The sequence below is a fragment of the Homo sapiens genome, chromosome 1, assembly GCF_000001405.40.
Source record: "Homo sapiens chromosome 1, GRCh38.p14 Primary Assembly".
Classification (NCBI taxonomy): Eukaryota; Metazoa; Chordata; class Mammalia; order Primates; family Hominidae; genus Homo; species Homo sapiens.
The window spans coordinates 245,154,642-245,171,196 of NC_000001.11; the positions used below are offsets into that span (position 1 = coordinate 245,154,642).

The following is a 16,555-nucleotide window of genomic DNA, read 5'->3' on the forward strand; positions in this document are numbered from 1 at the left end:
GCCGCGCGCCAGGAACTTCCCCGCACGCGGCGAGATCGACGATCCCCCGCCCCCAGCCCCAGCCCGGCTCCAGGCCTCGCAATGTCAGGCACGAGCGCCGCCACATAAAATGGATCCCGGCCGGCGCGGCGAGGGCGGCAGGTTCCCGAGGCTCCTCCGCGCTGCGCCCGGGCGCACACGCGCGCTGTGACCGCCGACCGCTCCCGGGCCACGCGGAGCCGCCCCTCTCCCGGCCCTCGCGCAACTGTCAGGCGAAACGGGCCGGCGGATATTGGCTCGGCGACACGCCGAGGCTCCTCCCCGAGTCTGGATCTTTATATTTTGGGAGAATTTCTTTGAACTCAGTTACCAAGCTCGGTGAAGGAGACAAGTTCCCACAGCTGACTCGGCTCGGCTCTCCCACCTTCCCGGCAGCGGCCGCGAGCCCTGATTGTATCCCTCGCTTTCCTCGTGGGGGAGCACGGACTGACTTGGCTGAAGAAAATGCCAGTTCTGTGGATGTGGCCGTGACAAGAGGACGTGCGGCTGGAAGAGGCAGAAGGGGACGAGGAAAAGCATGCTTTGAAGAGAAGAATAAACCAGCGACCCCAACCCTTTCTGCAAATTGGTGCTATTACTTGTGGGATCCATTTGCTTTCATTCCCTCCCACCCCACCGCTGAAGAAACCTTGCCCTGAGGGCTGAGAGCCAGCCCCCTGCAGCCGGGGGACGCTTCTGGGTTGGAGGACCTTCTGGATGTAGCGTCGGTGGAACCTTTAGATACTCTCCTCTGGAAAAGCCACCATGAATTCGGTAGCTGGGAATAAAGAGAGGCTTGCGGTCTCCACCAGGGGCAAGAAATACGGGGTAAGTTGTGACGGTACGACGCGGAGACGCGTTACCAGACCCATCTCGGCGGAGGTCCCCCTTTCCCCGGGATCGTGCGGCCCCGGCCCCGAGCTCTCCCCCGCTGCAGAGGCGCCCCCGGGGCTGGCGGGGTTGTGAGTGCGCGGAGGCGGGTCGGCCGCGGGGACGCCCGCACGCTCGCCTCGCTCTCGGAATTTTTTCAGCCCTCTCGTTCCTTCCTTTCCACGCACCCGTAACTTTTGCCGCATTCCTGCACTTCTAGGCAGAGTGAAGCCGAAGGGGAGGGTTTCCCATGAATGCTGGGCAGTACCTCGGATCGTTTAGCTGGAGCCGTGAGAGCCTCTCGTTTACCTGCAGGATCCGGAGAGTTGGACCCCGTATGAATAAAAATCCTGAAATCACAGCCCTCCCCCTACCCCCCCCATAGGGTCTTCCAGGATTTTGTTCCCGGGATCTTGCTGGGATAGGTGCCGGCTTCAAAAGCGTGGGGCGCTGAACCTATGGATCCCCCCCGCCTTGCAGAAGCCGTGGAAACGGCCCCGAGCGAGTCCCCTTCCTGACCCCAGGAGGAGGCCACCGGGGACCAGCGCAGGGGTCACCTGGGCGGTGGGGACTCACTTAAGGACAATTAACGAGACAGACGGAGGGCAATTTGGCCGCAGGGCTTGGAGAGGTCCCCAACCGACTCCCGTGGGCGGTTCGAGCGGGTACTTGGTGGCGCACGTATGACCCAGCTCCTGGGCGCTGCAGCCCGCCGCCTTGCAGCCCCTGACACCGGCGTGTCTTCCCCGCAGGTGAATGAAGTCTGCTCGCCCACCAAGCCCGCAGCGCCCTTCTCCCCGGAAAGCTGGTACCGGAAAGCATACGAGGAGTCGCGCGCCGGCAGCCGGCCCACTCCTGAGGGCGCGGGCTCAGCGCTCGGCTCCTCGGGGACCCCGTCTCCCGGCTCGGGCACCTCGTCCCCGAGCTCGTTCACCGGCTCCCCGGGACCCGCCTCCCCCGGCATCGGCACTAGTTCGCCGGGCTCCTTGGGCGGCTCTCCGGGCTTCGGCACAGGCTCCCCGGGCTCCGGCAGCGGCGGCGGCTCCTCCCCCGGCTCGGACCGCGGCGTCTGGTGCGAGAACTGCAACGCCCGCCTGGTGGAGCTCAAGAGGCAGGCCCTGAGGTTGCTCCTCCCGGGGCCCTTCCCGGGCAAGGTGAGCGCCGCGCGGGGCTGGCTGGGGAGGCGCCGGGAGGGCGGGGCCGGGCCGCCACCCACAGCAGCTGCTCAGCCCGCCGCGACCTTGCGCGCCGGCTCCACGCGAGAGCCCCCGGCGGCGCTGGGGATGCTCCACACCTCACGGGGCTCTAGCACGCGGGGCGACCCATGCCCCTTCCTCAGCCAGGCCGCCCGGGGGGCAGGAGGACCGAGTCCCGAGCGCGAAGGGGCGCCCGTGGCCACAGGCCTCACGGCCCACGGGGGAGGCCCCCAGGTGGTCTCTCCTGCCGCCCCCTCCCAGCTCTCCCTGGCGGCTGCAGGCTGCGCTTTCGATGTTTCTCCCCACCCCCACCTGTGATCCTTTACAAAAATGTCAGCGGGAGCTGTAAAAGCAAGCTGATGCTCGGAGCTGGCATTTCCCACTGCCTGTTTGTGGTCCATCCTTTCCGCGGTTGCAGAAACAGAAACATACTCGAAAGCCAGCATTTTCCCCTTCTCAGTCTGTGTGTGTGTCTGAGGAAGATCCGGAGGCGGGTGGCTCTTCGGAGCAGTGCTCCCTCCTGGCCTGCTCCTGCGCCAAGCACACTGGTTCCTCCATAGCAACCCTGCCCGCAGTGTGTGACTGGCCCGAGCCCCCAGGGGATAGCAATGCGATTGTATTTGCACTGTTGGGTCCAAGTACTATCAAATGATCATATTTACTCGGCCACTTCAAAGAGTTTTTATCAGTGGTTAGAGAGCAATATCAAGGAAATAGAGTGGATTGCTGTAGAGGTTTTTGACACTGTTGGTTCAACGTCAATTTCTGGTTTATTATTTCCGTGACTTTAGAAATGAAATACTGTGATTTCGAGTAGGCGTTTAGGAATGACTGCGTCTGCTGGCCCAACCTGCGTATGCAGATACACACGTTGATGTTTTCATAGGCAAGGGTTAAATTCAACAAATGCCCACAGACGCTGTGAAACTTAAAATGGGGGAAATGACCACCAGGAGAATTGGTTTTATGAATGCAGAACTTATCTCAAGAATAATGAACTCGTGGATGGTTGTCAGTGTACCGTTTTTGTAGTTTGATACATCTGCCGTGACATCCCAAGGATACATCTCAAGGAATCAAAAAGCTTATTTCGCTCTTGCGTGCTAGACCTTCCGATTTAACACCGTTTCTTCATTCACAGATTTATTTGCTCTCGTGATCCTTCATCAATATTCATTGATTTTCTACTCCATCCGAGGCACTGTGTCAGGCACAGCAATGAAAATACCAGGTCCATTCATGCAGTCCTTGTCCACGTGGAGCTTAGATTCTAGTGGAGGATACAGATAACAACCACAAAATGCACAGTTCACAATGTCTTCACATTTGTGGAGGGAATGTAGGGTGCTGTGAGGTTGTTGAACTGGATGGGAGCATCTGATAAAGATGGAAGGACCTTGGTTCTTAAAGATCTAGTAGCTGATATTTGGCAGTCCTAATACGTTACAGCCTACCAAATTATTTTAGACCTTTCTTGAGGACCTATTCTTATAATAGGCTTATTGTGGCTTTGGGTGTTCCTATATGCAAAGGCCGATCAAAATACACTCTTCTCATTTAAAAAAAGAGGAGGGGAAGGAAAATCTACAGAGGAAACAAATGTTGAAACTCATACGCATCCATCATGTTTTATGGAGTCCTGTGACCAGCTGGAATCTTGTTTTTATAGAAACAGCCTGGAACATTCACTTACAGTGTCACGGGAGGCAGCTCAATATATTTGCCAATTTTATGTATGTGATAAGGTAAAACTCTTGTTGGTAAACTGATTGTATTGTCAGAGTGAGGTGATGGCCCCAGAAGAAACACTGGATTTGCTGAACCCCCATGCTCTACAATGACTTCGAGTGATCCAAGGACATCTAGAGAAGACCTGGCAGTCATGGGGGCAGTCACAGGGGATCACTTTAAGTGCATACGTGAATGTCACATAGTACCACAGTCGCCTGAGTTTTATATGTGAAGCAGCACAGTAAAGCGTGACATTTGGTGCAAGGGCATAGACAGGGCTCAGCCAGGAAGAAGGATGCTTTGCATCAGCTCATTGTTAGTAATGAGATGTGGGGCCTCAATTTTAACTACAAAATTTCTGCAAGCCTTTGTGAATAATAATTGTGTGTGTGTGTGTGTGTGTGTGTGTGTGTGGTGTGTGTTTTAAGCATTTGTACCTTGCATTTAGGTACAATTTCCATTATACCTTTAGCATTTGCAACCTTATAGCCAAACAGTTGCCATGTTCTCTGGTGTACCATGGATGGAGGCCATGTAACTTGGATAAGACTTTTCTTCTTCCCGGAGCAATATTAATGAACAAACTGTGGACCACTGTAGCCCTCAGGCACAGAAGGAGTTAAGTTTCATTAGAACAAGAGGTGTCACTGTGACTCCAACATGCAGTTCGCTCAGTTCGCTCTGAAGAGTAAGAGTCTGGAAGATAAAGACATGTTTTTGAGGAGTAATTAACAAAAATCATCTGTGTAATTTGCTTAAGATGCTTACCTGCATTTGGGAAATATTTTCTTAAATAGAGTGTTAAATTCTACTAGGTGGTATTAAATGTCTCCTAGGTAGATATTTAAAAGTCAAAAGCAGAATAGCACATCCAGGAACCTTAATATTTTAGGATGGATTTGGTTTTGGTTCTTCTTCACCACTGATTTACTTTGTGACATTGGGTAAATTAGTTTTCCTCTCTACTTTTTAACTTTCCTATTAATATCCTAAGGAAAAAAATGAATGAGACTATTAAAACGTCATTAAAATGATCCAAGGTAAGGTCTGAAAAGTGCTTTCATTCTTTAGAGAAAGATATGAGGGTTGATGATTATTAATGAGCTAAGATTCTGTTAGATTTATGTTTTACAGAATTTAAGGTTTTTCTTATAAGATATTACTCCTGTCAGTTTCTAATTTCATCTGTATATTTTCTAAACATGCTGCCATATGAGTTCTCACACTGTGCCTGTTGGTAGGTAGCAAGCCCTATTGAATCCCCCGTTCTGTCTTTGGAACAGTTGGTTAAGGAGGGGAGGTGAAGTAGTAGAGAGCCCATTCCGGGTATCTGGTTGGTTCCAGGAGCTAGTGCCTGGCTCTGGTGGCCTGAGAAGAACCATCTTATTCTGAGCACTCCAATGGAGGATAGGGCTTCATGGTAGAAAATGACATTATTTGAACGTAACGGAGTGGGTGATAGTGTTGGCTGAGGTAGGAAATAGGAGGAGACATGGAATTGGATGGAGCTCAGAGGGAAGGATGATCATGAGTTTGGTTTTCCATGCAGCGAGTCTGAGCTTTCTGGAAAGAGATGGAGGCAGATTTAATAATAAAACACTTTGTTTTTGGCTATCTCAAGACTGGCGTGTAGAAGTGACAGCTGTGAGCTCACATAGCTCTGCTGTTGATACTCTGTATTCATCCTTTCCGATAGCAACTTACCTGGTGAGTAGACGTTTGTGCTTGGTGGCAGATTGTAAAACACTCAGATTGACTTTTATTACCTTGATCAGTACAAAAAGTACTTACTGGGTTTATATCGTTTCTCTTTTGGTGCCGGTGAGTGGAAGTGGTCGGATAAAAGAATGTGGACGTGTAAAGTGTTGAGATTTTAAGTGAGAATGGCCCTTTTACCCACTGTAGCCTTCCAGTGTGTGAATACAAAACCATTTCATGTCCAATGGCAAGAGCATCTTTCCTGCTTTGTACACAGTCAGGGCACTGAGCCAGAAATAGGGGCCAAGGAACGAATTGCTCAATTTTGGGCTAGCCTAGATCATTCTGATATCTGTGACAGAACTTTTGAATGGACTGGGCAAGTCCTACGAAACAACAGCCCAACGAAATTCCCTGGAGTAAGCAGTAAAGCTCCAGGTTGGCAAAAGGTTATCAGACATCTGTTCATTTCCATATCAATAAAAGAAAATCTTTTATGTAAAAAAAAAAAAGTGCAGAACTATGTTCCTATCTGATTGTCTCTCAGTCAGATATTCTGAGTCCATTTATGCCCCAGAAATATCAGGAAGATTAGCCAGACATACTGAGAAGGGTGGCCAGGAATCACAGAGATGAAAGAAAGGAATGCGTCATAGGGGTTAAAAACGCCAAACGTGGACTCTAAATAGCCGGAGACCAAGTAAGTCTAGACTTGAGGAGATATAGATATCCCCACATGCATATTTCTGTATTTTGCCAGCTCCAAAAGAGGGGTATGGAAAAATAACTAGACGCAAAAAGTCCCCCAAAAGCCATCATAAAACATTTTATAGATAGGATAAAACAGACATTGCATTTCGAGTACTTATTAATTATAAGGGACTTCTAGCTGAAATCTTCTCTTTCTTCTAAGAACATGTGGCTATTTTCAAAAAGCTTCATTTGAGTCTTTCTCATATCAGAAGTATTTTAGATAAAGGAGCAGTTAGTAGATAATAGCAGTCATGAAAAAGTCCTACAGCATTTATCATTTGAAAATTTCTGAAACATTTTGGGAGTTTATAAAAACATTCCCAGGAGAGACATGTGAGCAGTAATCTCTTTTTAAGGCTTAGCAAGCTGTGGAATAATGGCAGTTCATTCTACCAGACTATTAATTGTGAAGCAACATGGTCAGTTTTTATAGTGACTTAATTCACTTTGCAAAAATCCCTGGCCTGCAATAATTCCTTCCACACCCATTGCAGATAGGATTACTACATTAGAAATGTGATTTTTAAATGGCTGAGGCTGGTAGTTTGTCAGCATTTGGAAGGATTAAGTCAATTAAAATGGAGGCAACATCAGTTGCCATTTGTTATTTGGCATTATATCACAGATTGTACCATGAGTGGGCCAACAATAGCGATGATAGTAATAATAATAATATGTAATAAATGGCTAACAACGATTGTCCTACATACCACGAACTACACTGAAACACACACACACATAATCTCATATATTAAAATGAAGATGAACGTGATTTTTTCTTTTTTACCCTGGAATTCCAAGTGCTTGATGTGGTTAAGATCATAGAAGGAAGCATGAAGAAAAAATATGCAAGGAACAGAGAAATCCAATCACACTTTCCCCTAGAAGCTGTTAAGGGTCCCTGTGAGTAGAACTGACTGAGTGAGAGGCACCGGCTCGAGATGGTTATTATTTTTCCTGGGCTCACAGATGAGAATTTTACTTCCAGTGAGTGGGGAGGTTGGGGGAAAGTATGTGAGACTGTCAGGTTCTGAGTTGAGGAATTGTCTTGGCTGGAATGCAAGGGGCGGGGGGAAGGAACCTCCTTATATTTACGTGCACCCATTGGAGACCCTGTTGTCATCCCTTCCTGAACAGAAAACCCTGCCCGAGGGCCCCGTCCTGACCTTCTGCGAGGAAGAGTTCTTCAGCCGGCCATTTCAGTGCCCCATCGGCAGGGCGGCCAGACCTCTGCTCTGTTTTGTCCTCAAAAAGATTGCAAATTGGCTGGTGTCTGGGAGGGTTCTTGGTCATTTTGCAGGAATACAAGACAAATTTCCTTTTTACCACTCTCTGCAGTCACAAGCTATTCATCAGCATCCTTTCTTTCCTGTTTCTCGTCTATGGTGTTATTGTGGCGAAGGAGCACTGTTGAGAATGTGCTCCCAATCGCTCTTTTATACCTATAGATGCACCCATCAGAAATATCTTTTTTTTTTTTTTTTTTTTTTTTTTTTGAGACGGAGTCTCGCTCTGTTGCCCAGGCTGGAGTACAGTGGCGTGATCTCGGCTCACTGCAACCTCTGCCTCCTGGATTCAAGCAATTCTCCTGCCTCAGCCTCCCGAGTAGCTGGGACTACAGGCGCCCGCCACCACGCCCAGCTAATTTTTGTATTTTTAGTAGAGATGGGGTTTCACCATATTGGTCAGGCTAGTCTCTATCTCTTGACCTTGTGATCCACCCGCCTTGGCCTCCCAAAGTGCTGGGATTACAGGCAGAAATATCTTATTTTAAAGTACATTCGTGTAGATGCAAAAGGACTGGGGATACACCTGTATTCCTAATGTACTTTTGAAATATTTGTCAAGATATCAACTCAGTTTGTATCCATCATTGGCTTACCATTGCCTTTGGAACTGCTCCAGAGCCTATCTGAGAAAATTGGAAATGAGTGATTGTTAAAAAGATGTTTGTCCACCTCCAGGTCTCAAAGAACTCACCTATGTTTTCTTCTAGTATTTAAATAGTGTCCTTTTTAATATTTAGATCTCTAATCCATTGAGAGATTATTTTGGTGCAAAATGAAAGATATAGATCAAATTTCATCTTTCTCTAAATGTCTATCCAGTTGTCCCCACTTTATTAAAACATTCTTCTTACTTGCAGACTTCTTCTTGTGAAAAAAAGAATTTATCTTTCTCACATTAATTGAAGATACCACCATTGTCATAAATCAAATTTTCAGTTGTATCTGGACCTATTACAGGATCTTCTAGAATGTTCTCACTCTGTTGTCCAGGCTGGGTTACAGTGGCACAATCTCGGCTCACTGCAACCTCCGCCTCCCAAGTTCAAGCAGTTCTCCCGCCTCAGTCTCACAAGTAGCTGGAAATACAGGCACGGACCACCATGCCCAGCTAATTTTTGTATTTTCAGTAGAAATGGGGTTTCACCATGTTGTCCAGGCTGGTCTTGAACTCCTGACCTCAAGTGATCTGCCTGCCTTGGCCTCCCAAAGTGCTGGGATTCCAGGTGTGAGCCACTGCGCTTGGCCCACACTATTTTAATTATGGAAGCTCTGTAGCATGTTTTCATGTTTGGCAGGGCTAGCTCTCTCTCCCTCAAATAGTGCCTTTCTTTTCTAGGAGTTTCCTTGCCTAACTCCAATTTTTTTTTTTGTTAGGACCGTGTTGAATGTATACATTAACCTGGGGGAATAGTTGGCATCTTTATGGTGTTGAATCTTTCCCAAGAACATGGAATACCTTTTCATTTGAACAAGTCTACTTTTTAGCAATTTTTAAGAGTTTCTTCATATAGGCTTTGCACATTTCTTGTTAAACTTTTTCTTAGGTATTATAGCTTTTGTTGCTATTGTAAATGGAGTCTTCACTTTCATTATCTCTTTTAATTGATAATTATTTATGTGAAGGATATTGATCTACATGTTTTATATCCCGTCGCCTTATTAAATTCTACTATATTCACTGATTTTTAAAAAATTGGTACTCTTGGATTTTCAAAAAATTTTGTCTTCTTCAAATACAGATATCATTACTCTCTTCCTTTGCTATTTTTATGCCTCTAAGTGTTTTCTCTTTTTTGTTACATTGGCTGGTACTCCTGACACAATGTTACATAATAGCGATATAGTGGGCATGTGTATATATTTTTTTCTATTAAGATGTTGGCTTTTGGACTGAGATCTGTCTATATTTTTTAAAGTTAAGTAAATATCCATCAATTCCTACTTTAGTGTTTTATTAGGAATGGGTATTATATTTTGCCAAATGTCTTTTCAGTATTTAGAGAGAGAATCATGCAATTTTTCTCCTTAGATTTGTTAATATTGTGAGTTATTATTATTGATTTTCTAATAGTGAACCATCCTTGTATTCCCATAATAAACCCCACTTGGCCACAGTGCATTTTGAAAGATATGCTTCTGGATCCAATTTGCTAATATTTCATTTATTGTTTTTGCTTTGATATTCATATGCCAATGAACATTTTTGATTCCTGTTTATGTGCCAGTTCTAGTACTATGCCACATTATAATCCAAATAGGAAAAATACTAAAATTCCTGCCCTGGAGCAACTCACAGTCTAGTGTCAGAGACAGGCAAGGAACGTGGCGAAGCGTAAGCGTTCCAGCCACAGGAAACGGCAGGCATAGGCCAGGAAGGGGTGATGCGTGCCCCCTACATATGGGGAACTGAAGTCGCACATGGTCACCATACACAGTATTTGTATGAGTGCGTGACAGGCTGGAAAGGAGGCAGATGGAGGATGAAAGGCCTTGTAGGCTATAGGCTGGACTTTATCCTGTAGGACGTGGGCAGCCATTGGAGGGCACTCATGAAGGGAGTGAAATGATCAGATATGCATTTAAGAAAGATTGCTGGCCAGGCACGGTGGCTCACGCCTGTAATCCCAGAACTTTGGGAGGCCAAGACGGGTGGATCACCTGAGGTCAGGAGTTCGAGACCAGCCTGGCCAACATGGTGAAACCCCGTCTCTACTAAAAATACAAAAATTAGCCGGGCGTGGTGGCCCACACCTGTAATCTCAGCTACTCGGGGCTGAGGCAGGAGAATCGCTTGAGCCCGGGAGGCGGAGGTTGTAGTGAGCCAAGATGATGCCACTGCACTCCAGCGTGGGTGACGGTGCGAGACTCCATCTTTAAAAAAAAAATAAAGATTGCTGTGAGAATGAGCAAGAAGATGGGTTGGAAGAGTGGTGTCACCGAGACCAGTTGGGAGGCCCCTTGCAGTGGCTTGAGTGAAGAATGACACAGACTGAACTAGGGTAGTACAGAGGGAAGGGAGAGGCAGCTCCGGCCTGACACATATCATATGTAGAAAACCCGCCATGGGGAGCTGCTGAGATACGGGGCCAGAGGGAGAAAAGATGATGCATTCTCCCAGGTTTCTGGCCAGGGAAAGTGTGTGGGTGGTGCTGCCAGTTATGGAGATGAAGAATACAGGCAGAGAAGGGGTTTTGTTATTGTGAGCCCAGTGTTCGAGGATGGCTGTGGATGTTAAATTGATTGGGGTCTCTAGAGCTTGAGGTGGAATGGTCCAATGGGCTCCTGTTGGCGCTCTAGAGCGGCTTCTGAGGTGGAGATATGGATCTGGGGGATGTCAGCGTAGAGAAGGTGATGGAATCCACAGACGGCATGAGCTCTCCACAGATGTGTGGGGTGAGACGACAGACAGCTGAACATGAAGTGGTGGAGACCATTGACATCGAAGGGACCAGTGGCCTGAGGAGCTAAGAAGACAGACCAAGAAGGAGGGACCAGAAAAGAGGGATGAAAAACCAGGAGAAGACAGTGTCATGGGAACTGAGGAAGGAGTGAGCTTCAGGGCATAGGGGTGACAAAAGGTCTGATGCCCTGGAGAGGTCAAGGAAGTAAGGACTGAGGTTTTCTTTGAACTGGCAAGGAGGAGGTCATTGGATGTCTTTGTTGGAAGAATTTCTGGTGCCCTGGAGAAAGCCAATGGCATTGTGTCCAGGAATAGATTGAGAGGTGAGGACATCTCAGGCAGCATTTGAGTTGCTGAGGACACTGAGATACAAGAGATCCACTTCTTGAGGCTCTTATTATCTTAAAATGAAGAACTACAATCAACAGACTTGCGTGCAAAACCAGGCTCCGTCACTTAGGGTGTGACCTTGGGCAAGCCTTGGTCTTTCTAAACGTGGTTATTCTCATCTCTACAGTGGGAGTCATGACAGAGCCCCACCAGGAGGATCGTGAGGATTAGGTGAAATTGTGAGATGCTAGTCAACCATCGCTTTCTGTTATTATTCCAGTGACTTTCCACAGGAAGTTGAATTTTATATAAGATTCCTACCCTCCTTCCTTCCCTCCTTCCTTCCCTCTTTCCTTCCTTTTTTCCTTCCTTCCTTCCATCTGACACGAAAATGGAGAAACAGCAGTCAGAGAAAATGAAAGCATTCAGTGCGTCTTTGTTTCTTCACCTCCAAGTGGATAAAGCATCTCATTCTTATTTATTCATTTGTAGAGTTGTCACCACAGAAAGTTTAAGGGAGCTCAGTGGATGTAAATAGCGACTCCTTTGGGTTGAGGTGCCATGAATATGGATTGAGAGTTTTTTGTCACAGATGGAAATCCCTTCTTTAAGCCCGGCCCCTCTCGTAGCCCCTCCAGGGAGACTTGCAGATGTGGCATTTGGCATTTCGGCTCCGGGGAATGAGGGAGAGCAGATTTCCTCCAGTGACTGCGCATGCGATGTGCAGATCTGAGCCGCACCAGGAATTTGGGCTTATCTGCCTTCCAATCCAGCTTTATCTGTCTCAGACGGTTTTCTTTGCAGTTGTACTTTGCTGATCCTATCACATCGATTCCAACCAGACCCCATGGGAAGTCTGGGAATAAAGAAGTCACCCTCCCCCACCAAGCAGGATATCCTGCACATACATCAGCTCTCAGGGCTGGAGGTGACCGTGGAGGAGAGGGATCCTGTGAGCTCTAATACAAAAAACCGAGACATTCTGAACGTTGCTATAGAGGTTAGCAAAGCAGAAGGCTCTGAGGGTAGAGTAAGTATTATTAATTTTTTAAATATGCAGAACGATAAATATGTCTTAAGTGTTATAGACCAGGTTACAGCTGAGGGACTATTTTGATTTTCCTTTTCTACTTATTGGAGTTTACGTTCAATACTGTTGCCAACCACAAAAAGTTATTGGAACAAATTTTAGCTCTCCACACAGCATGGTTCTAAAATCTTTGATGGTTCTTACGTGTAAACTTTCTTTTTATATAATTGTTTTTTTTTTTGCTTGAAAGCATGAGCTGCAAATAATAAATTAAAATCCGCTTTTCTATCACAGGGGTGACAAATAGAAACTTTTATTTTGATATGTCCTTATCTAAGTGATGTCTGAGGTCTGTATATGCTAATTCAGGATTTTTTTTCTGAGCTAACCTAGGAACCGATAGAACTTGAGATTTTTCTGCAGTGTAATTTTGTCTTTGAGTTGGCAGTGATGAGCAGCTACACTTCCCCATGAAACTCTATCATCGTATTTAGAGTGGTTGCTTTCTTTGGGGTTATAATCACTACTTCCCAACCCTTCCTCCACCTAACTGGTGGCTTCACACAAGAATGGGAGACTCACCTATTAACTGATTAGAAGCCAGCAATAACAACCAGCACCAAAAGCTGTCGAGCTATCTAACCAAATGGTTGTACAGAAAATAAACAGCTGAATTCAGGCAAACAACTGGAAGCAGCCACCATTGTTTAAAAAAAAAAATCACCTGCCCAGTTCAGTTGTGTAACTTTGCACAGCAGGGAGTCTCAGTCCTAAGCAGGTGGCAGAGTGTCTTCCCCATGGTACCATGGCTGGGAATTAGAGCATCAGGTGTCCTTTACCAAGACAGGCAGCGTGGTGATGGGGGCTGAGGGATAGATGGGAGGAGGATAGAAAGGAGAGGAATAAGAGGGGAGGAGGAGGAGGACGGATGAGAGAGAGGGCGAGGAAACAAAGAAATGGGTGGTATACGCATCCAAGGTTGTCTACAATCCCAGATATTTAGGTGAAAAAGGACTGTCCTTGGATCTGGGGACAGAGGTGCAGTCCTGCTTCCAGCACTGATAAGCATTATGATCTTGGGAGAATCACCTAGCTGGCCTGTGCTTGATTTTTCTTTTGTAATCTAAGAGCATGGTAGTCGGTGGGCTCTAAGCTTCTCCCAAGCCTGTGAGTCTCTGTGAAGCTGAGGCTTTGGGAGTCCACTCCGTGAACCCAGATTCCACAGGGATGTGCCTGGCAAAATCCAAGTGGGTTTCTGGCTGAAGCTGTTCTGTGGGCTGCCATGTTTGTGGGACATCTCATCTGCAGCCGCCGCAGCGACCTCCTTGTCCGTCCAGCCAAGGGGAGGGACCGGAAGCCAAGCGGAGGGGCCGGTAGCGCCGTCGTTGCTGATGCTTCTGCTTTTGGAATTCGGATCATAAACTGACAGGGTTCTTCCTGTTTCTTAATAAAGCTATTTGTTTTACTGTCTAATGTGTTTCTAAGCAGAAATAGACAAACAAAAGGACAATTGATTCTAGAAGAGAGATTTAGTATGGAGTATTTGAAGAAAAGTATTGCCTTAGAAATAAGGATGTTTTGTAGTTAATTTTACATTAAAAGTTCTGCCATATTGATTAGGATTTAGAAATAACATACGAAGAGTTCTTCCTGAGTAGCAGTATAGGAACACCAGAACTCTATAAACATTTTATTCATCATTCTTCATCTGATTTTTTTCCAAAATCTTTTTGCTCCCTTTGATTTCTCTCTTTTTTTCTGCTCTTTCAAATGCCTAGACAGAGCCATATTGATTAGGCCAGTATTTACATATCACATGCCCCTGACGTGGGTTTAATGCCCCGTAGTGTTTGATGCTGTGGTCTGGGAAAGAATGGAACAGGTAGCTGCCCGCTGAGTCAACGAGGCCCATGCAGTTATCATCGATTTTTATTTTTCTCTTTAATCATTTAGCCAAGGTTGCCTCTTTAAAATATCTACTTCCTGGGGGATGTTTCCCTGACTCTTATTTCAAATCTAATACTTTGTATTTGAGTCTAAACACAATTCAGGGAATATAGCTATTAAAAGCAGAACTTGATTTTGTTTAACTAGTCCAGAGCGCGTGATGGCTTTGGAGCAGAGTGGAGAACAGGCACAGAGGAGCACGAGCCCCAGGAACACCACTTGGTGCCCCTCCCTCGTCCTTCCACCGAGCTCTCTGCACGTATCTTACCAGGGCGTGAATGGAGCATTCTGCAGCCAGACACATCCAACCCACAGCAAACCCTCCATGCAAGCTTGCCTGTGTCCTCAGACATTCTACCCTTTATTTCTCCTCTTGTTCTTTGCCCCTAAGTTTGTCCATGCACTCGACTTTCTAACGGGCCATGGTGTGTGTGTGTGTGTGTGTGTGTGTGTGTGTGTGCGCGCAAGCACTTTGTGGAGGCCCTGAAGGCAGCATGTAAGGTGGTAACACGGTAGACATTCTGCCCCAGGTTTCAGACATTGTTAGGCTGAAGCTTTTATTGGAGGTCAAGGCAGCTAATAAAGTGGGCCGTGCAATTACAAGAGCATTCAGCAGAGAAGGATGGCTGACCCTCTCGGCAGGCTGAGAGCAGAGGAAGCGGTTGGCAGCTCCTAGTCCTCCCATGATGGCTTTACAAGCATTTTTTGCAGCCGGGGTGGTAAATGCGATACAAAGGCATGGTTTCAATATATCCAATGAGGCACTCTGCTTCCTGTGTGAGGCATCCACTTGGGGGAAGGAAGTTGCCCGGCTGTGGGCTTTTTGTGGTGGTGGTTTCTGCTAATTTACCTTTTTTATAGAGGGCTCATAATTATTAGGGATCCTCCATAATGCCCCTTTATGGTGGTCAGGAAGGAGATAACAAAATGATGCAGAGGTTTAGGAGGCTTCTCCAGGGTCACCCAGAAAACCTCTGGATTCTGAATCTCCTTCAAAGATTTAAGAGGATTTATTTATGCTGCTCTCTTGCCCATGTGGATCTCCTTGACACTACACTCCGTGAGCGTAGTTAATGTCCTGTCTTGTTCACTTTGTTTTTTGTTTGGTGCCTGTGTACCAAGTAGATTTCTGGTGTTTTGAAAAAAAAAATCACCCGTCCACTGCTGCATAACCAAAACGTCACTGGTGTGAAGGAAGAGGATGATAGAGGATGGGACGGTGGTGACAAATGGCGGGATGGGAGATGATGCCTGGGTGAGTCCTGGAAAGTGCCGTGATGCCATCCCACTGACATGGCCTCCTGTATTCCAGCAAAGAGTGAAATTCACAGGGAGCACAGAGTAAGAGCAGCGCCTTCACCTCGGTGGAGCTTAGTCTAGGCATTTATGGGTCGGCTGGTTTGAGGGTCCTTGCATTTCTTGTCAGTCAATACGTCCTTGTTTTGGCTAAGTCTCATGCCCTCATATCCACTTCTACCCTTGCAGAATAAAGACATGTGGGAATGCTCACTGGATGCTTACAATTGGTTCCAGGTGTTCCAGGGACGAAACTTATCAGAACCAAACATAGAGGGCAAATGTCTTAGCCAATTCATGCTGCTATAACAAAATACCACGAACTGGGTGGCTTATAAACAACAGAAATACTGATTTCTCACGGTTCTGGAGGCTGGGAATTCTGAGATCAAGGCCCCATCAGATTGAGTGTCTTGTGAGGTCTGCTTTTTGATTCATAGATGGCACTGTCTTGCTGTGTCCTCACGTAGTGGAAGGGACTGGCTAGCTCTCCAGGGTCTGTTTTGTAAGGGCAGGAATCCCAATTATGAGAGCTCTGCCTTCATGACCCAGTTTGCTCCCAAAGGCCCACCTCCTACTACCATCACTTTGGGGGTTAGGTTTCAACATGATTTTGGGGAGAACATAAGCGTTCAGTCTGTTGCAGCAAGCATGAGGTCACTTGTCTAGACACTGACCCCTCAGGCAGTGTTCATGTTTGGTTTAATTTTTCCCTTTATCTGGTAATTGATTCTGCACTGTCTCCATTATTTGGTGAGATGGTAACATGTGATTACATCCCAATGGAGTTGGGCATGAGAATAAGAAAGAAATCTCCCTTTAAAGGCTTTGGACTACCTTGGAGTTTGAAGAGAGTGGAGGAATGCAGTGAGCTGGTTTTGATCTTTTGGTGAAAGTGACAAGGAGGCAGGATGGTTTTTCCACGGACATTGACAGGGTCGTGCTGGTTCTCCCAAAGAGAAATAGAGTAGAGTTCATCACATTAGTTAAGAGCACC

At 46.7% G+C, this 16,555-nt stretch overlaps 1 protein-coding gene across 1 annotated transcript in view, besides 1 other annotated feature; it reads left to right on the forward strand.

Moving 5' to 3' along the window:
• KIF26B (kinesin family member 26B) overlaps positions 344-16,555 on the forward strand; it is a 554,448-nt gene continuing 538,236 nt past the window's right edge. Inside the window, exons 1-2 of the mRNA NM_018012.4 lie at positions 344-846; positions 1,641-2,042. Of these exons, the coding sequence (NP_060482.2) occupies positions 784-846; positions 1,641-2,042 (465 nt within the window). The 5' untranslated portion in view covers positions 344-783. The remainder of the gene's footprint in view (positions 847-1,640; positions 2,043-16,555) is intronic.
• Positions 1,753-2,292: a silencer, noted in NCBI's record as "silent region_2029". NCBI's record gives its function as "represses an Ori minimal core promoter by ATAC-STARR-seq in GM12878 lymphoblastoid cells {active_cell/tissue: GM12878}" and the evidence as "EXISTENCE:reporter gene assay evidence [ECO:0000049][PMID:35858748]".